The 21,463-nt window shown below is 36.1% G+C and overlaps 1 protein-coding gene across 22 annotated transcripts in view; it reads left to right on the top strand.

Annotated features, from left to right (window-relative positions):
* Positions 1–21,463, top strand: part of DMXL2 (Dmx like 2) — a 174,981-nt gene that overhangs the window by 116,273 nt on the left and 37,245 nt on the right. For 19 of the 22 annotated variants that reach the window (NR_165648.1, NR_165649.1, XR_007064435.1 and 16 more), the window contains 7 exons: positions 3,466–3,693; positions 6,268–7,947; positions 11,365–11,475; positions 14,752–14,921; positions 17,854–17,951; positions 18,380–18,545; positions 20,162–20,426. Coding sequence is in view for 19 of the 22 variants with exons in the window: in NM_015263.5 (NP_056078.2) it covers positions 3,466–3,693; positions 6,268–7,947; positions 11,365–11,475; positions 14,752–14,921; positions 17,854–17,951; positions 18,380–18,545; positions 20,162–20,426 (2,718 nt within the window). In the remaining 3 variants the exon portion in view is untranslated. Of the gene's footprint in view, positions 1–3,465; positions 3,694–6,267; positions 7,948–8,034; positions 8,263–11,364; positions 11,476–14,751; positions 14,922–17,853; positions 17,952–18,379; positions 18,546–20,161; positions 20,427–21,463 lie in introns of those variants that run through there. The other 3 variants (NM_001174117.3, NM_001378460.1, XM_047432321.1) reach the window with 3 other exon arrangements.

Below are 21,463 nucleotides of genomic sequence, written 5' to 3'. Positions count from 1 at the left end.
CTGGGCGACAGAGCAAGACTCCATCTCAAAAAAAAAAAAAAAAAAAAAGCAGAATTGCTGTTTGATGAAATATGATTGAGTGCCTGAGACTTATAAGCAGAACTGTTTTTGTAGAGCATTAAGAAATACAGGCTGGGCATGGGCATGGTGGCTCATGCGTATAATCCCAGCACTTTGGGAGGCTAGGGCAGGACGATTGCTTGAGCACAGGAATTCGAGATCAGCCTGGGCAATAGAGTGAGACTTCATCTCTACAAAAAAATAAAAAATTAATTAAGTGTGGTGGCATGTACCTATACTTGGGAGGCTGAGATGGGAGGATTGCTTGAGCCCTGGAGTCAGAGGCTGCAATGAGCCGAGACTGCACCACCGCACTCCAGCCTAAGTGACAAAGTGAGACCCTTGTCAATTTTTCCATTTCAAAAAAAGAAATGCAATTATGATTAAAAAATTACTTCAGCCATTCTTTTGCTGTACACATTTAGATTAATCTCTAAACTAATTGGGAAATCTGTAGTATGAAGCAAAGAAATTGATCACAGATTTTTTAAAAACAAACTTTTCCTTTTTGAGAGATAATTGTTAAAATGAAGAACTGCATGGATAGCCATATCACATTGAATCTGCTTTAAACTGTTAACTCAAAATATTTGAGTTGTAAGATTTTATTATGTCTTGTAATTAATTGATTTTATACAACTTTTTATATAACATTTAATACAGTGAAAGAATAATTTGTACTTTTTTGTTCACATGTATTATACATTATCACAATTGTAGCAGTTCTAACTGGGCCATGAATTGGCATTAGAAAAGCCAAATTATGTGACAGAACCTTTACCTTCACCTAGTTGAGCCTAATCTTCTTGAGGCACCAGGAATTTAAAAATTCTTTCAAAGCCTTTGGAGTTAATTCTTTGCATTATATGTTGTTTGATAGAAATGCAAGAGAAGGGATCTGAAACCAGTTCATCAGGAAGAGATTCACCCAGCAGAGAATGTAGTAATTTCTAGAGTTGGGCACAGAAATGGGAGTGGCTCTGAAGAGATTTATAGGGGTAGTAACAGGTCCTTGTGGGAGGACAGGAACCATGTGATTTTGTTTGTCCCCACTGCTTATGAAGCGTGTGTCTCACTAAAGCCAGGGCTAGAGTTGAGTTGCTTGCCTACCCTGTTTGTGACAGCAGTAGGTCACAGACAATGAGATTACAGTAGAGGCAAATAATGTACTCTTTTTAGCTGTGATAGAAAGCATCTATCTTTTTGTTCTAATCTTTGCTGCAGATTTAACAGTGTATCCTGCCATTCACATTTAACGCTTGAATTTACTGCAGTAGTGAATATCCTGTTAGAGGATAAATGATTGGTTTAAATTTTGTTAGAGAAGGAAACATGTTGAGTACCTTCTGGGTGCCAGGCACTGAGATTGGTGCTTTATATATGTGAATAGATATTATCCCCAGTTTACTAATGGAGTAAGGGTATGTAACTTGACCAAGTCCCATTATATGGTTTGTCACAGAACTAAGTTTCAAAATCAGGCCTTGTTGACTCTAAAGTCTTTGCTTTTTTTCCTGCTCTTATTTTCTTTCTTAGCATGAGATATATGTTAGAAAATAGTATGATTTACAGGAAGAGAAATGATGTAGTTTAACCTTAGTTTGCTGGTGAGAAAGTAGCCAGAGATGGTGGTGAAGTGCCTGGCCAAAGGAAACACATCTCATTAGTGATAAAGCCAGGAGTGGGACTCTGTCTTCTGACTACGGATCCAAGTTTGTAGTCTTATTTCATTTTACAAAAAAATGTGAAAATATTTCTTACTTAGTGGCCTGCCATTATAAGATAGATTGACATGTTTAACAGAAACAAAAGAGGATTATTATTTATTGAATATTCTGGTGCTCTTTGAGATGTACAAGGCAATAACAACACATCATCCCTGCCTTTAGTGAATTTGTAGTCCAATGGGGAGAGACAGATAAATAAATAAATATAGAGTATCTCTTATATGTCACGGAAGAACAGATAACTGAATCAGAGATTTACACTCACTGGAAGTTCTTTGGAAGATCAAGTCAATATGGCTTACAAAGGCTGTCAACTAATACTATCTTAAATTTTCTTAGAACTTTTGGTTTTTGTGTTTATTCTTGAAATCATTCTCTGATTTGAGTACTTGATAGGAGGCTACTAGTCTAATGTCTTCTTTGCCCCTAGCTAATTACATGGCCTCAGGAAAATCACTAAGCTCTCTGAGTTTAAATTTCTTAATCTAAAAGTGAGGCAGTATATTGTTATTTCCTAAAGTTTGGTTCATGATCCATCTATTTCAAAAACACCTGGGCTGCTTTACTGGGATCTACCCCATATCATCTAAATCAGTGTCTCTGTGGTTAGGCCTGGGAATTTGCATGTTAACAAATTCCTCAAGCTTTTAATGTGTTTTAAAGGTTGTAAGCACTGGACTGTATAAGGGGTTTCTTTTAGCTTTTACATGTTGTGATTCTTCCCTGTCAGTCTTGCATGATGGAGTTGGTGCTAAGAAAGAGTAAAATTGTAAAAAAAAAAATTTAAGCTTATCAGGGTAACTAAGCAAAAGTTTGAAAATTGACCTTGTCTGCAAAGTAATTTTTTTAAAAAAATTTATTGATGCATAATAATTATACGTATTTATGGCGTACATGTGATATTTTTATACATGCATAGAATATGTAATGATCATATCATGGTATTTAGGATATTCATTACCTTGAAATTTATTGTTTCTTCGGATTGGGAACATTTCAGATCTTCTCTTCTAGCTCTTTTGAAATATACATTGTTGTTAACTGTAGTCATTCTACTGTGCTATCAAACAATAGAACTTATTTCTTCTACCTTCATGTTTGTACCTATTAAAGAGTCTCTTCACCCACCCCACAACCCTTCCCATTCTCTGGTATCTATTATGCTATTATCTACCTCTATGAGATCCACTTTCTTAGCTCTCACATATGAGTGAGAGAACAGGTGATATTTGTATTTCTGTGCCTGGCTTATTTCACTTAACATACTGACCTGCAATTTCCAACTGTGTTGCTGCAAATGACAGGATTTCATTCTTGTTTATAGCTGAATAGTATTCCATTGTGTATATATATGACATTTTCTTTATCCATTTATTCATTGATGGATACTTAGGTTGATTTTATGTCTTGGCTGTTGTGAATAGTGCTACAATAAATGTGGGAGTGCAGTTATCCCTTTGATATACTGATTTCCTTTCCTTTGGGTAAACACCTAGTAGTGAGATTGCTGAGTCATATGGTCATTCTGTTTTAAAAAGAGCTCTCTTTTCTCTATATCCTCACCTCCAAAATACTTTTAAGAAGCTATGTTTCTTAAATAATAACAAAGTAATATTCTAGCTCCTATTTATAGTAATGATATACATACATTTTGTAATTTTATAATTTATTTTTAAAGCTAAAGCTTCAGAAGGGGCTTCCTCTGAGAGTCTACTTTCAGTCCCTGGACAGAAGAACGTAGATTCTTCTCCAGAAACCTCTCCTAGTGTGAGCCCCATGCCACATTCTTCATCAATTGCCAATCTTCAAACTGCCAGTAAACTTATTCTGAGTTCTAGACTGGTGTATAGCCAACCCCTTGATCTCCCAGAATCAGTTGAAGTAATAAGAGCAACGCCTTCAGCAGGTAAGGTCACTTTAAGACTGGGCAGTGGTAGCTCAGAGTGATAAAATATATGAACTCTTTAGTGGATAAAATAGATGAACTCTTCTGAAATATGTTCTATGTTGACATTAAAATAAAGATTGATTTTCTATTAATGATATGTCTAGATGGTTAGAAACATGTCTTTATTAGAAATAATTTCCTGGCTGGGTGCGGTGGCTCACTTCTGTAATCCCAGCACTTTGGGAGGCTGAGGTGGGTGGATCACTTGAGGTCAGTAGTTCGAGACCACCCTGGCTAACATGGCGAAACCATGTCTGTACTAAAAATACACAAATTAGTTGGGCGTGGTGGCACGTGCCTGTAATCCCAGCTACTTGGGAAGCTGAGGCAGGGGAATTGCTTGAACTCGAGAGGTGGAGGCGGCAGTGAGCTGACATCACACTACTGCATTCCAGCCTGGGCGGGCGACACAGTGAGACTCCATACACACACACACACACACACACACACACACACAAACCCACAAAATTTCCTGTGATAAATGTAATCAGCTTGACAGAAAATAGTGTAAATTTTTTTTTTTTTTTTTTTTAGACGGAGTCTCACTCTGTCGCCCAGGCTGGAATGCAGTGGTGCTATCTTGGCTCACTTCAAGCTCCACCTCCCGGGTTCACACCCATTCTCCTGCCTCAGCCTCCTGAATAGTTGGGACTACAGGCATCCACCACCATGCCCAGCTAATTTTTTTTGTATTTTTAGTAGAGACGGGGTTTCACCGTGTTAGCCAGGATGGTCTCGATCTCCTGACCTCGTGATCCACCCACCTCAGCCTCCCAAAGTGCTGGGATTACAGGTGTGAGCCACCACGCCCGGCCAAAATAATGAAATTTTTTTTTTTTTTTTTGAGATGGAGTTTCGCTCTGTCACCCAGGCTGGAGTGCAGTGGTGCTATCTTGGCTCACTGCAAGCTTCGCCTCCCAGGTTCATGCCATTCTCCTGCCTTAGCCTCCCGAGTAGCTGGGACTACAGGCGCCCACCACCATGCCTGGCTAATTTTTTGTATTTTTAGTAGAGACGGGGTTTCACTGTGTTAGTCAGGATGGTCTCGATCTCCTGACCTTGTGATCCGCCCACTCGGCCTCCCAAAGTGCTGGGATTACAGGCGTGAGCCACCGCGCCCAGCCAATAGTGAAAATATTTTAATGTGAGGTGTCTTGCCTACACTTTGGAATATAATGATAGTAAAATTTTGAAGAACAAATACATTCATTTGTAAACCACTGAGGCTTTTTTTAAAATTTAAGACTTCATTCACATTGTGGTAATCACGTCTCACCTTTATTAAGAATGTTTGAACAACAGTTGGCAGATACTCTGAGGAAAAATGTAGGATAAAAGACTATAGTTTGGGTGGTCTGGAATGATACTGACTTTAGCAAGGTAGATATTTTGAGGGCAAGTCTGGCAGCTGTGTTTAAAGTGATCTACTTGCAGAATTTTAATTGGGGAGTTTCTAGAATAGTGTTTTTGGGAAACCAAAATTGGAGGTTCGGGGCCGCTAAAATTACTGGTGAATGATATTCAGTATAGGTGTTTTCTTATTCATCCGTAAGACAGGTTTGCATTCACAGTTGGAAAGATCATATTGAGAAGAGTGTACTCTTGGGCTTTTGTGGCTGGTGCAGATCTAGGCCAGTTTGTTAATCTTTCAAAATATTTGAAAGGTTTGGGTTATACTCAAATAAGTTTATTGGAGTTCGTGATAATAAATTATATTTTACAGACGCCTTATAAAATGTCTTATTTGACAATAGTAATCTAGGGGAAACAGTAACTGATCCCAATTGTTTAGATGGAATAGGCTCAGATGATTAAGTAGCTTTCCCACTGTTAATGAAATTATTGATGGGTTGAAACTCAAATCCAGATCTTCTGACCTCAGATCTTTAATCTCTATATCCCCTTGTCTTACAGTTGACAACAGATGTGCATTGTTAGTCTTTGGCAGTCAGGAATAGATAAGAGGGTTCTGGTTCAGTGCTAAGAGAGGATGAATTAAACTTGGTAAAATGGGTAAGATCTATTGGTCTGTTTTGCGGTCTGAAACAAAATTTGGTGTACCACCTGGGGTCTGGATTATTTGAGAGAAGGTTAGGGGCATTTGAAAGGCAAATTGTAAAGCTCAGTTAAGTATTCATGATGAAAATGATTAAATATATAGTATGAAATTCTAAGGAGGCATGTTGTGAAGGTAAATATAAATAATAGAAACACATTAAGGGCTGACTTGTTTCAGTGCTTTTGAGTTTTATTTTAATTAAATGGTTGCCTCATTTAAACTTAATTACCTAAAAACAAATTAAGTGATTATTATTGCATACCTTGATTTCACTGATGGGCTCTTCAAGACCTTTATAGATATGTTGGCCAATGGACATTTAGTGGGATACTAGTTAAGAGGAAGACTGCAGAGATATTCTGAAGAAGCTCATAGTGACTTTAAATTGATCACATTCCAGAATTTGATTACTACCATATTATTTTGTGGCTTTATTATTATTACAACTAACTATTTGCTTTTTCTTTTTTAAGGCCATCTGAGTTCTTCTTCAATTTATCCAGTGTGCCTTGCACCTTATTTAGTGGTTACAACTTGTTCTGACAATAAAGTACGCTTCTGGAAATGTTGTATGGAAGCCAACCCAGAGTGTAATAAAAGTGATGAGAAAGAAATTTATCATTGGAAGAGATGGCCTTTGATGAATGATGAAGGAGAAGATAATAGCAGTACAGTGAGCATTGTGGGAAGACCAGTTGCTGTTAGCTGTTCATACACAGGTCGCCTTGCAGTGGCTTATAAGCAGCCTATCCACCATAATGGTTTTGTTTCTAAAGAATTTTCCATGCATGTTTGTATATTTGAATGTGAATCTACAGGAGGATCAGAGTGGGTTTTAGAACAAACAATTCATCTTGATGATTTGGTTAAGGTTGGGAGTGTACTTGATTCAAGGGTCAGCGTCGACAGTAATCTGTTTGTGTATAGCAAGTCAGATGCACTCTTGAGCAAGGATAGATATCTTATTCCGAATATCAAACATTTAGTACATTTGGACTGGGTATCAAAAGAAGATGGCTCCCACATTCTTACAGTGGGAGTCGGTGCGAATATCTTCATGTATGGAAGGCTTTCAGGAATTGTGACTGAGCAAACCAACAGTAAGGATGGAGTAGCTGTCATCACTTTACCACTAGGTGGTAGTATCAAGCAAGGAGTTAAGTCAAGATGGGTTCTTCTTAGATCTATAGACTTGGTATCTTCTGTTGATGGTACTCCTTCACTGCCTGTTTCTCTCTCTTGGGTAAGAGATGGGATATTGGTGGTAGGAATGGATTGTGAAATGCATGTATATGCACAGTGGAAGCATGCTGTCAAATTTGGAGACACTGAAGCTGATAGTTCTAATGCAGAAGAGGCAGCAATGCAAGATCATTCGACCTTTAAATCTAATATGCTGGCAAGAAAAAGTGTTGTTGAAGGAACAGCTATTTCTGATGATGTTTTTTGTTCACCAACTGTAATTCAAGATGGTGGCTTATTTGAGGCTGCACATGTACTTTCCCCTACTCTTCCACAATATCATCCAACTCAGCTGTTAGAATTGATGGATTTAGGGAAAGTGCGAAGGGCTAAAGCCATTCTCTCTCATTTAGTAAAATGTATTGCAGGTGAAGTAGCAATAGTTAGAGATCCTGATGCTGGAGAAGGAACTAAGCGACATCTCTCTCGAACTATTAGTGTAAGTGGCAGTACAGCAAAGGAAACAGTCACCGTAGGAAAAGATGGTACTCGAGATTATACTGAGATAGATTCTATCCCTCCACTACCACTATATGCATTACTTGCTGCAGATCAAGATACATCCTACAGAATTTCAGAAGAAAGTACAAAGATACCACAGAGCTATGAAGATCAGACAGTAAGTCAACCAGAGGATCAGTATTCAGAGCTGTTTCAAATCCAGGATATACCAACGGATGATATTGATTTAGAGCCTGAAAAGAGAGAAAACAAATCAAAAGTAATAAATCTTTCTCAATATGGACCAGCTTACTTTGGCCAAGAACATGCAAGGGTACTTTCAAGTCATCTTATGCACTCAAGTCTACCAGGCCTTACCCGTTTGGAGCAGATGTTCCTTGTAGCTTTGGCTGATACAGTGGCTACTACTAGTACTGAGCTTGATGAAAGCAGAGATAAGAGTTGCTCAGGTAAATATTCTCGCTAAAAATTTATAAAGTTGTACCTAATAGAAATATTTGTATTATCTCTATACTGACTCATTTACTGAATTGCAGTCTCAACTTTCAAACTTTGCAGGGAAAAGACCTCCTTAATAGGTAATTACTATTATATAATATGCTCAGTTAGAAAAGACGGTTGAGGCCGGCATATGAATGCATGGATTTGTGAGATCCATGTGCATTCTCTCATGAGTTTTTACACTGAAACCTTTGTGTCATTTTGGATTTATAATCTTGTTTTTTTGTGTGTGTTTGGGTGGGTTTTTTGTTTGTTTTTTTGAGACAGGGTCTTGCTCTGTTGCCCAAGCTGGAGTTGAGCGGTGCAGTCATGGGTCACTGTAGCCTTAACCTCTCAGGTTCAAGTAATCTTCCTATCTCAGCCTCCTGAATAGCCGGGACCACAGGTGTGCACCACCATGGGGCCCAGCTAATTTCTTTTTATTTTTTTTGTAGGGACTAGGTCTCCTTATGTTGCCCCAGCTAGTCTCGAATTCCTGAGCTCAAGCAGTCCTCCTGCCTTGGCCTCCCACAGTGCTGGGATTATAGGTATGAGTCACCATGGACTGGCCAAGTCTCTTGTTTTTTAACACAGATTGATCCCTATGATTTTTTCTTTGATAATAACAGCCCATTTGTTAATGTTACTATGGAATCATGAGGCTTATTGGGACCTCATGGGCTCAACTTGTTGGTCTTCCCATTTCTAGCCATAAACAACTTTTTACAATTACCTAATTTTCTCCAAAAAGTCTCTTCAGCGAGATTTCCATACAGTTAATGTCATACGTATTTTGCCTAATTCATTCTGTAACTAGAAAATTTTTGGCTGCTTCCTGGAACTAGATTCCATTCTCTTTTATGCACATAGTTCAGGGTAATGGTGTTGATTGTAAATGATGGCATTGGCAAAGGAAACTGAAAATTAATGATCAGAATTTCATTAATTCAATAAATATTTTGGAGGAGTGAAAAATTGCTATGTTTCAGGCACTTTCTTTACTTTATCATATTTAATTATCACAGTCTTCTAGCAGATAGCTATTATTATGTTTAACTTTATAGATGAAGACACTGATCCTTAAGAAATTAAGGGACTCATCTGAGATCACATAGGCATTAAGGAGTAGAAGTGGAGTTCATATGTGGATAAACTGTTGACTCAAAGCCTGTACCCTTTTAACTATTTCATGATTTCCAGATCTGTGGGGGAAAGGTAGCTGGAAAATATCTCTTCATATAGATTTACATCCTTATAGTATATCCCCCAAAGTTTTCTTCTCTGCAGGTTAAAATAACTAGAGACCTTCTAGGGTTTTGCCTATGACTTATTTTCTCACTATTAATTGGAAAAGAAAAATCTTAACCATTATGAGGTTGTATGCAGTTGAATGAGATTCTTCCCAGAACAACCTTAAGCTTGTGTTGTGTGTTTAATATATATTAGTTTTTACTGTGGGACATTAAGAAAGTAGGCATGGCATGATTTGTAAAAAATAGTTTATACTTTCTAATACAAAACTGTATCATTGGCTAAGCAATATAGAAATAGTGTATCCTGGACACAGTGGACATTCATGAGGTAATAAGGCAGGAATGAATGTCTCCATTTCACAGGTGGGAAACTGAAGCTCAGAGATTAAATGAGTTACACATCTCAGTAAATGGATTCTAAGTAAATGAGTTCTTCCATTTGTTCAGGTGAGACAACTTACAGTCATTCTTGACTCTGCTTTCTCTCATACCCAGTATCCAGTTCATTGGCAAATGCTATCAGTTCTATTAATATCCAGAATCCAATAATCAATTCTCATTACCTCTGCAGTTACTACTCTGGTCCAAGTCCCTGTCATCTCCTAACTGCTTTATTCTTTTTACCTCCATCTGTTCTTTGCTTAGGAACCAGTGATTCTTTTAAAACCAAATCACATTAAATCTCTCCTTTGCTCAACATATACTGGTGCCTTCCTGTCTCACTTTAGAATAAAAGTTAAGAGCCTTACAGTGGCCTAAAAGGCCCCACACGATCTATGCTCATTTCTACTCTATTAGAATGCTCTTCTTCCAGATTCATGCATGGCTTGTTCCTTTACTTCCTCAAATTGCTGCTGGCATGTCATCTTATTGGAGAGTTCCTTCCTGGCCACACTGTATGAAATAGAACTCTCTTACTCCAGCATTCCCTATCTCTCAGTCCTGCTTTATTTCCCTTCATAGCATTAATTTCCACATATTATTTGTTTATTGTTTGTCTCTACCTCCTAAAATATGATCCCCAAGAGAGTAGGGACTTTGCCTTATTCACTGCTGAATTCCCAGTACCTGAAGAGTCCCTCACATGTAATAGATGCTTGATTTGTTGAATGAATAAACGGACGAATGAGCATGGTGGCTCACACCTGTAATGGCAGCACTTTGGGAGGTTAAGGTAGGAGGATTGCTTGAGGCCAGGACTTTTAGACCATCTTGGGCAACATAGTGAGATCTCATGTCCATAAATAAATAAATAGATACATATTAGGTTGGTGCAAAAGTAATGGCAAAACTGTAAATACTTTTGCACCAACCTAATAGCTATCTATCTAGCTAAATAAATAGATGGATGGATGGATATAGGTAATGGGAAGCAGAGCTGGGGCTTGATCTTTGGCAATTTAAAAGTTTTTGTTTTTTTTTTTCTGGAAAATACTATTTGATTCTATAATCATTGAGTACTTCCAAAGTGTCAGTTATTGGGCTAGGTGCTGTCTGTATTTTTGCTTTGCTTTTATCCAGCAGTGGCTATAGTTTTGGTTACGCTTGCCATACCTTCATACTTTGACTAAGTGGAATTAATTTGTATAAATAAATTTGTAGAATCAAGGTGAAGGTTCAAACTAACCATGTAACACTAACTAGCCTGGGTATTCAAATTTTAAATCTTTGATAGTACCATATTTCAGTTAATTTAACCAAAGTAGAAAATACTACCTGCTTAAATATATAACAAATGATTTCACATCAGTTATGTAATTTCCATTACATCTCATCGGAATTCATGTAGAAAATATTATTAAAAGTTGTACCTAACTTACCATAGTTAATATATTTTTTATTGGATTTCCAGATGTCTTTCATTTATTATGAGTCAATATAAATGTTCTTGTTATCTATTCTAATAGTTAATTGTATTTCTCCAAATCATTTTTCTTTTAAGAGTTTAGTAGTCACATTTTTTTTTGTAAAGATAATTTTTTGTAAAGACGTTAAAGTGTTCAGGAAGGAATACACTAAAACTTATGTATTTTATATAAATTATGACTAAGTTTAATGTTTGTTTTATAGCTTATCAGTTTGTGGCCTCTTGCATTCTTTTTTCCTTAAACATATTTCCTGTTTAAATTACAGGAAGAGATACATTAGATGAGTGTGGTTTGAGATACTTGTTAGCTATGCGCCTACACACATGCCTTTTGACATCGCTGCCTCCTTTATACCGAGTGCAGCTACTTCATCAAGGTAATTCACTCACTGTTTGAAGCTTTGCACAACTTTTACTTAATATTGGAGCGATGGGGTGTATCATGTTTGTGTGTAAACATTAGGTAAGTCATTACGTGCACACCTATCACTTGGCTTAAGATCTTTCTGTCACATAGTACCCACTTACCATTTTTCTATGTATCCTTCAGCTCTATTCTGTGACTTTTGCTCATCTAACTAAGTTTTTTAGAATTTATTTACTAGAGTAGTAGCTTAGGGGGTAAATGTGGTATGCCTGAGGTTGTAACCCAAAGTGGCTGTCTACAGAGTAGCCCTGAATATCTTGATGTCTTTTCTTTGAAAAATTATGTAAACTTTGCTCTGCGATGTGTTTTTATATTTACTTTAATGTAAGCATTATGTTCTAGTTATTTGCCAGCAAGTAAAGTTGATGATTCAGGAAGATCTGCCATATTGATAACAGTGGATTTGTGTACTTCAGGCATACTGCTACACCTGATTTGAGACATAAGGATTTATATCAGCCTTCGTATTACAGATTAAAAAATTGAAACTATAGAATTAAAAGTGACCTGCCCAGGATACAGGACTATTTATTAGAAGAGTTGGGAGTGCGAATCCCAGTCCAGAGCTTATTTCAGTGGACTATATTTCTTTTGAAACCAACATCTTGGAAAGAGTCCCATAATATACGTCTTAGTATTATAGAACCTAGAACACTAGGCTTGATACACTGTTATTCTTACCCATGGCACTTACCCTTTAACCTATGAATGTTCTTTGAAAACATAACTATAAATAGCTATCTGAGATTCTGTGTCTAAACTATATTTCATCTGCCCAATCCTTTGTTTTTGAAATAGATTTTGCTGAGGTATTTTTTCTATTTGAATTATCACTCTAATGAATAACCTTGTACCTTGGCATGTAAATATTTGCATTCCTGATTATTTCCTCATGCTAGTTTTCCAGCAGTGGAATTACTGAATCAAAAGGCATGAAAATTCTTCAGTCTTGATAAGTATTACCAAAATGCCCTTCAGAAATGTGCTCATTTACATTCCCAGAAGTTTGTATACACGTACTACGTACCAACAAAAATTGAAAACAAAAAATTATAAAAAATATAAAATAAAAAAGAAGTTTGATGATGCCAAATCTCAACCCCATTGCCCACATTTGATATTAACATTTTAAGCAATCTATGCCATTTGGATAGGTTTTTAAAATGGTATCTCCACGTTCTCTTAAGTTTTAGTTTTGGGTGATAGTCAAGTGGTATTGAATCAGTTAATGACAATTTTGTACATTTCCTAGGGCAGTCTAAAACACTTCAAATTTCTAAAGCTGTGTCAAATTCCATTTTCCCTTTGACTGCAGTTAAAACATTGGCGATGAGAAGTGACTGGTGTTGTAGGTGTTGGTCCTGGGAGCAGTTTTCAGGGAAAAGTTAAGTAGCCAGTACATAGATAGAAAAGCTGAGAAGAGCAAGAGCAGAGGTAAACTGCAGAGAATAGCCTGCCATTGGTAGGTAAATAAAAAGAAGTGCCTATTCGTGCCCCTGTTCTTTTTCTTCCCTAATAACTTTTTTCACCTCTGCAGGTTTTCAAATACATTCACTGCTCTTAATCTTACTTTCTGAACCTAATTCTTCTGACATGTCTGTGTGTATTTTTGTTTCTTCTTATACCAAAATTTTAATTAATTTAAGGATATAGAATGTAATATGCTATGTATTGTCATTTTATATTATATATTTTATATCAGCAAAATTATGCATTTTGTGTTGCCGTATATTAGTTGCTGAAGCAGAATATCAATTATTTGATAAAGTAATTCTCTCACAGCAGACAGAGATTTAAATAGTGAAAAAATTAGTCTGCCTTTCAGGTTATAAAAAACTAAATTTATTTTATTAATTTTTTCTGGTGTTTTCCCCTAAATTTATAGTGGCAGCCAAGACATGTTGCATTAATTTTGTGGTATGATTACAAACACAGTTGTTATATGAGTGTTGGCAGTGGGAAATTTAAAAGAGTTAAGATTGTTATTCAAAATAATCATAATAGTTTTTATTTTATACTTTCTAAAGAAATTACAGTGAAGCAGTAATTATTAGAAAAGCTTTAAACTATGTACAAAATCTATATAGTAGTTGAAAATGGAAAAAATTATGTGTAACAATATAGATACTTAATAGCATTGAGAGGCCTATGTTGTAATGTGACTTTCATTGACCTCAGACATTTCTTTGTTTCTAAAATGAATTCATACAGATGGCTACTTGGACTAGTTTGGCTTCTTTCCAAGGCTTCCCAGAGTTCTTGCCAGCATTCCCATTATTGATTACCATTCTGTGTGGTTCACATTCATTATGTTTCGTTTTTACCTGCTGTAAGTCGAATATCAGTAAGAGCGTTATCAGTAATTGAACTGTTGATAAATCCATTAGTACTTAAAAGTCTAATAGCGTCAGTAAAGATTTTGTTGCCTCTTCAAACAGCCTAGATCCCTGTCAGTCTTCTCCCAGGTAAAAAAAAACAAACAAACCCAAAACAAAAAACAATGTTCACCAAAAAGCATCAGTATTAGGCAGCTTTAAACTTTTAACTGAAGGCACTAAAAGCAGAGGAATGTACATCATGATTGTAACTTATCCTTATTATTTTCTGGAACTCTTACGAAGTTTAGAGCTTGCTTTGAAGTGATATTTAGCTCCATGGCTAGAGAGAAGAATGGGGTAGTGGCACTGGAATCGACATCCAGGACTGTGAGCCAAGTGCTTTTGACTTGAATAAAGCTTTCACCACACTTTCCTTCCCCTGGGCTCTTGTGGGGGATAACACACCTTGTGTCCTCTTGGGCGGGCCGGATTCACAGGTCCTGGTGACAGAGAAACCTGGAATCGGGCCTGGGCCCTACCTTCCTAGTTATGTGAGCTTGGGCAGCTCTTATGACCTCTTGATAAATTTGGTGTACCGTACATGTGAATGGCCTGATATTCAAATATTTTTCTTTCTAATGATTAAGTTTTAGTGTCCCTATTTTTGTAGGGGAAATGAAAACAAATGTTTGGGGAAAAAGAGATTTGGATTTTATGTATCACATTATTGATCTTGTATTCAGAAACTTTTATAGTATAAAGTCCTGAATGATGACAGACTGCCTTTCATTCTTTCTTTCTGCTTCAAAATTCTTTCCAAAATGAATGCGTATGTGACTGCATGAAAAATTGTTTTTCTTCTTATTTGATACAGTTACGCAGATTATTATTTTATATTTCCAATTTAGGTGTCTCTACATGCCATTTTGCCTGGGCTTTTCATTCTGAGGCTGAAGAAGAACTGATTAATATGATTCCAGCAATTCAGAGAGGGGACCCCCAGTGGTCTGAATTAAGAGCTATGGGCATAGGATGGTGGGTGAGGAACATTAACACGCTTCGAAGATGCATTGAAAAGGTAACTTTTCTTTAGTGGATTTTGAGTTATATTAAAAAAACCTTTTCCTAACGAAAAAAAGATACTATCTCCCAGAAAACCTGTAGTGGGAAATTTGTTTGTCTATCTTGAGGTCTTGAGAATTTTTTTTTTTTTGGAGATGGAATTTCGCTCTTGTCGCCTAGGCTGGAGTGCAATGGTGTGATCTTGGCTCACTGTAACCTCTGCCTCCTGGGTTCAAGCGATTTTCCTGCCTCAGCCTTCTGAGTAACTGGGACTACAGGCGTGCGCCACCACATCCAGCTAATTTTTGTATTTTTAGTAGAGACAGGGTTTCACCATGTTGGCCAGGATGGTCTCGAATCCCTGACCTCAGGCGATCTGCCCTCCTCGGCCTCCCAAATGGCTGGGATTACAGGCATGAGCCACCATGCCTGGTGAGACTTTTTTAAATAAAGTTTTTTGGAGATTACAAAAACTTGACCTTTATAAAATGTCCATGCAGTATGATATTGTGTCTTTCTATATAGGCTGAATTTATAATATATCCGTGGAATAATAATATTTTCTGTTATTAGTTGAGGTATGCCCTGGTTTAAGAAAATGGAAAAATCTAACTTTAGAAAGTAAACTTGAGTTCTTGTTTGTTATTTACAATACATTAAAAAACTCTTTTTATACAAAGGACTCTCTGCATCACTAGTTGAATAAGTAGCAAACGTTCTTTGCACACTTGAAATCTCATTGGATAAAAACAGTTTTGATTTGTATGTACTTGAAGAACATATCTGTGGCAGCAAGTGAAATGGCTATCAAAGTTTTTAAGGCAGGTTTTTGGAGTCAGTTTTCTGGTAGATTCCTTTTAGGAAAAAAATTCAGTTCAGCTCTCTACCAGGTTTGGTGCCAGTTGCTTTTCATAAATAATTCCATGTTATGTTCTAATCAACCCCATGTCATCATCTCCATTTTACATATGATGGAACTAAGATTCAGAGAGGATGGGTAACAAGCCCAAACTCCAGTCATTTATAAATGTTAGATTTAGCCTGTGCCTTTTCTACTTTAGCAGGATTAGGAAAGTGGAATTCTTATTCATATTTTCCTTTTAGTCCTTTGGAATTCCCTGGAGTACAATCAGTGGTACTATATTTGTGAAGTATGAATTTGTTTCTCCGAAGGATGCAAAGACCTTTTCCTGATTTATTCCTTAATAGTAGTTCCCCAGAGAAGACTCAACTGGTAAACTTATGTAAAATGCATATTCTCCATCCCATAACCAGAGATTTTAATTTGGTAGTGGTAGGGCTGAGGTTTCTTCATCTTAATCAGCATCCCATGATTCTGGTGTGCATGGTTCTCAGATCACAGTTTTAAATGTGAGTATAAAAGTATTATTTTACTGTTACGTGTAAGGCTGCCAACAAAATATCAGTATTTCTTTTCTCAAAATAAGCACAGATATAAGAAGGAATTCATTCCTGCACCAACTAAAAAATGTGATCTCTGATGTACAGGAAAAGTTAATTGTTAAAGGATATAAATGATACAGTTTCTACATTAAATGTTTTATATTCCAAAGCACTGGATAAAAGAGGACATACTTTATCTGAAATGTTTCAGATGTATCCCACAAAGATTTTACTTCTTGTCAACATGTGTCTTGTCATTATGATTATCTGTGATAATATACACATGATTTATTTCCACAAGTAATTTATTTCTTAAAATTAAATCAAAGGGATATGTACATTTTCTGCCTCAAAATGTATATTATAAATCAGCTGAATACAAATAAAATTCCTCTAAAAATTATCTAACATATTGAAGCACTAAGTTAAATGATAGGGGGCAGACAACACAATTAAAAGGGGGAAGGGAAAAGAGTATTGAGAGTAAAGCATTTTCTTTTTTCTTTTTCTTTCTTTCTTTCTTTTTTTTTTCTTTGAGACAGAGTCTTGCACTGTCGCCCAGGCTGGATTGCAATGGTGTGATTTCGGCTCACTGCAACCTCCTCTTCCTGGGTTGAAGCAATTCTCCCAACCAGCCTCCAAGTAGCTGGGACTACAGGCGTGCGCCACCATGCCTGGCTAATTTTTGTAGTATTAGTAGAGACGGGGTTTCACCACGTTGGCCAGACTGCCCTCGAACTCCTGACCTCAAGTGATCTGCCTGTCTCGGCCTCCCAAAATGCTGGGATTACAGGCATGAACCACTGCGTCCGGCCCGAGAGTAAAGCATTTTCATGATGTAATTTTAGATGTCTTTTCCCTTTCTCCCATACCTTAGTATTATAGCTTCCTGCTTTGCCATCAATGTGAGCTAATTAATAAAACATCCACTGTTGTTTTGTCATTATGCCTTTCAACTTAATGATTTGCAGAGGCTATATCTCAGCATCTTGGAAAAATAAGGTATGGCCTATATGCTCTTATGTTTAAGACAGTATGATTGCATACAATATAACATGTTGAATTTTCAAGAAAAAGCTCACATCTATTGAATATTCTGCCTTCTTTATTGCTTTCTATGTTAGTTTCAGTTCTACGTGGTTTCTATTCCCTTTTCTAACCCTTACTGTGTGACTGTAGGCAATTCACTTAACCTTTCTGTCTCAGTCACTTTATCTATAAAATGGGAATAATGATAGTGCCTCATGGTTTGTAGTGATGCAATAAGATAACAAAAGGTGCATAGACTCGTGCCCAGGACGTGGTAAATAGTCAATAAGTGCTGGCTGTAATTAGGATTTTTACCATAATTACTGGCTTGCGAATGGTTATCTCTAGGAGCATGTATTAATATTATAACCTACTGGAGATTGTGAAACAGAACCAACTTTTTCTGTCTCCACAGTTTCTATCAGCCATGGAAGTAGCAGGGGAACATTATTGTTGATTAATTGATTGTAATTCTTATGTCAAATTGTGAATTTAATATTTTATTTATCATTTAGGTTGCCAAAGCTTCTTTTCAAAGGAACAATGATGCCTTAGATGCTGCACTATTCTACCTTTCAATGAAGAAGAAAGCAGTAGTGTGGGGTCTGTTTAGGTAAGTTGCCTTGACACTTAACGTGATTCAACAGAATGAAGATTGTGCTGTGAGTAAGAAACCTAATGCTTTTGAAAATAATTAGGTATATGAGCTTCATCAAATCCACTTCTATGCGACCTGGTTCCTTTAGCTGAAAAAAATGGGTAAAATATCTTTTCAGCTTAATCTAGAGGATGGGATGTTTTAAAAGTTGATAAAAGCACTTTGCAAAGTAAAAAATGCTGTTTCCTATTTATGTATACATAAGGCATTATTGACCTTCCTTCTTAGAAGAAGTGAAGAGATGCTTGATAACAAATGCCTGTCCTTGAAGTTATTGTTCTTCTTTTAGATTTCTGTTTGAGGTTTTTATTTTATATTATTATACATTCTGTAGAACATTTTAAATTTGGTTTAACCACTTTATGTTTATGCTCGGTCCCCAGGTCACAGCATGATGAAAAAATGACAACATTTTTCAGCCACAACTTTAATGAAGATAGATGGCGAAAAGCTGCTTTGAAAAATGCTTTTTCCTTACTTGGAAAACAACGCTTTGAACAATCGGCTGCTTTTTTCTTGCTAGCTGGTTCATTGAAAGATGCCATAGAGGTATAAATAAGAAAACACACTATATAATACTTGTAAAAGATTGAAAACCTAAGAAGGTTGTAGAGGAGATTGTAACTTTTGGTCATATGTTTGTTAGGACACAGAATAACTACAGAGGTTGCTGTACTTAAAATAGTGGCACTGTGGTAAAGGAAAATATGAATAAATTCAAGGGAGAAACAAATGAAAAATTTCAGGCTGGGCATGGTGGCTCACGCCTGTAATCCCAGCTCTTTGGGAGGCCAGGGAAGGTAGATCACCTGAGGTCAGGAGTTCAAGACCAGCCTGGCCAACATAGCAAAACTCTATCTCTACTAAAAATACAAAAATTAGCCAGGTGTGGTGGCACATACCTATAGTCCCAGCTACTCGGGAGGCTGAGGCAAGAGAATCACTTGAACCCGAGAGGCGGAGGTTGCAGTGAGGTGAGATTGTGCCACTACACTCCAGCCTGGGCGACAGAGTGAGACTCCATCTCAAAAAGAAAAAAAGAAAAATTTCATATATGGCACATTGCATTTCAAGACTATGTGTAAAATATATGAAAAAAATGCTGAAAAATAGTTTATGAATGTCTTCTTCCAGACCATCTTGTGATTCTGAACTGTTTAAAGTACATAGGTCACAACCTCCTTATTCTGTGCAGAAAGGCAGATACATTAAGCTGTTTTTTTAAATGAAATTCATAAATAAGGAACTGAAACTCCAGTTTGTACTGTTTTATAATAGTTTATAATATTAGAATATTATATTAGAAAACGATGTGAGGAGGTAAAACTTCCCACTTTTTGATATGTAATCCTAGCAGCTGATTATGAGAGTAATTACAAATGTTTGTGTTTACTTCTGATATCTTCCTCTTAGATTACTATCATGAACAATATGAACAGGTAAAGGACAAATACAGTTGGGAATAATATATGATAGAAAAACAGGAAATATTCAATTAAGTGAAAGTACTTTAGTATTTTAAATTTAGAATTAGTTGGGTTTTTTTTTACAATTATCCCAGGCATATGAGTTTCTTTTTTTAAATAACAAATACTTAAGATTTTAAAATTGGAAGTTTAGCTTAGAAGATATTCAAGCAAAGAGAAGTGTTGACTGAGAGATGCTCATATTGCCTAAATGACCTCAAATGCTCAGAACTGGTAGTTGCATTAGAATACAGGCTCCCAGAGACTATGAATAGAACATATGGCTGTATTTCATAATTTATTTACTATTTAAATATGAGGCAGATAGTAATAATTATGATTATGCAGAAATATGTTTGGAAATTAAGAGGAAGTGGTATATAAATTCTAGTGTCATATATAGTATTTAATTTAAAAATGAATGTTATTTAAGTTGATCTTAAGTCTGAGATGATATTAATATACTTTGTTTCATGCTTATTTTATAAATGATCTGTCTAGTTTGGAAGCTACTGGGTTCCAACCTGTTACTCTTTTTGCTATTCTTTAATCTCCTATCAATCATTTAACTACCCTTCACTGTCCCTTCGCCCACCATTAGGATATAAATGGTAGATAATTTCAGGGTATTGATGGGATATTTCATCTCTCTAAATAATTATCATTAAGTAAGATAAGTATTAATATTTAAATTTGCAGGTATGTCTTGAAAAAATGGAAGATATTCAGCTAGCCATGGTTATTGCCCGTTTATATGAATCTGAATTTGAGACTTCATCCACTTATATATCCATCCTAAATCAGAAGATTTTGGGTTGCCAAAAGGATGGCTCAGGATTCAGTTGCAAAAGATTACATCCTGATCCTTTCCTGCGTAGTCTTGCCTATTGGGTAATGAAAGATTACACCCGAGCCTTGGACACATTACTGGAACAAACACCAAAGGAGGATGATGAACATCAAGGTAGGACGTTTTGTGGATTTCTTTTTTTTCTTTTTTAAAGGAAGAGATACTTTCTGAACTAATGTTCACTTAGATTAAGAAAAATCATTACCAGATTTGCTTTTCAACTTTGAGAATTTATTATTAAAATTTCTTGTGTGTCTAAAGGATTAGATAGGATTACCATCCTATTCTAATTACGTATATATTTAACAAGCATACAAAATGTTTGCCACATTCTGTAGCTCTTTTTACATAATCATATAGCCATTTTTTTTAAATGGAAATTTTGGCTGTTACACGTATTGGTTTGTCACATGGGCCTGGAAAAACTTTATGCCTCTGTGGTAAATTTTCTTTTTTCCTTGTTATCCTAAATAATTTAGATATTACAAGCACTTAAAGGATATTTATCAGCATTGTTTTCAATAATTTGAAAGGAATGGAACATTTTAAGTTTTTGTCAATAGAATAGTTAAATACGTTTTAATATATCCACATATAGAAACAGTGTGTCATTAAAAATTGAGGTAGATACATATGTTAATATGTGCTGTATTTTTAAGTGAAAAAAAGTAAGATGCACAGCAGTGTGGTTCTTGTTGCATTTGGCATATGTATGTTGTACAAACATGCACCTGAATGTGCACACATGTTATGTCTGCCTCCTCCATTTCCTTTGGTTGTTTCCTGAAACAAATCATAAGAAATGAAATACTGGTCATTGGTCACTGGCTACCTTTTGGGAATAAAAATGAGGAGATCCTTGTCTTTGACTTTTGACAACTTGACCATGTGCCTTGGAGAGGATCTTTTTAGGTTGAATCTATTTGGGAGTATTTGAACACCCTGGACCTAGATGCCTATCTCTTTCCCAAGACTTGGGAATTTTGGGCTGTTACTTTATTAAATGTGTTTTCCTCACCTTTTCCCTTTTCTTCTTCTTCTGGAATGCCCATAATATGAATATTTGTTTACTTAATAGTGTCCCATAAATCCTGTAGGCTTTCTTCATTCTTTTTTTTCTGTTCCTCCTTCTTCCTTTTTTTTTTTTTTTT

This window comes from Homo sapiens, chromosome 15, assembly GCF_000001405.40.
Source record: "Homo sapiens chromosome 15, GRCh38.p14 Primary Assembly".
Lineage (NCBI taxonomy): Eukaryota > Metazoa > Chordata > Mammalia > Primates > Hominidae > Homo > Homo sapiens.
The sequence above is the reverse complement of the archived record's forward strand: the minus strand, read 5'-3'. Positions and strand labels throughout refer to the sequence as shown.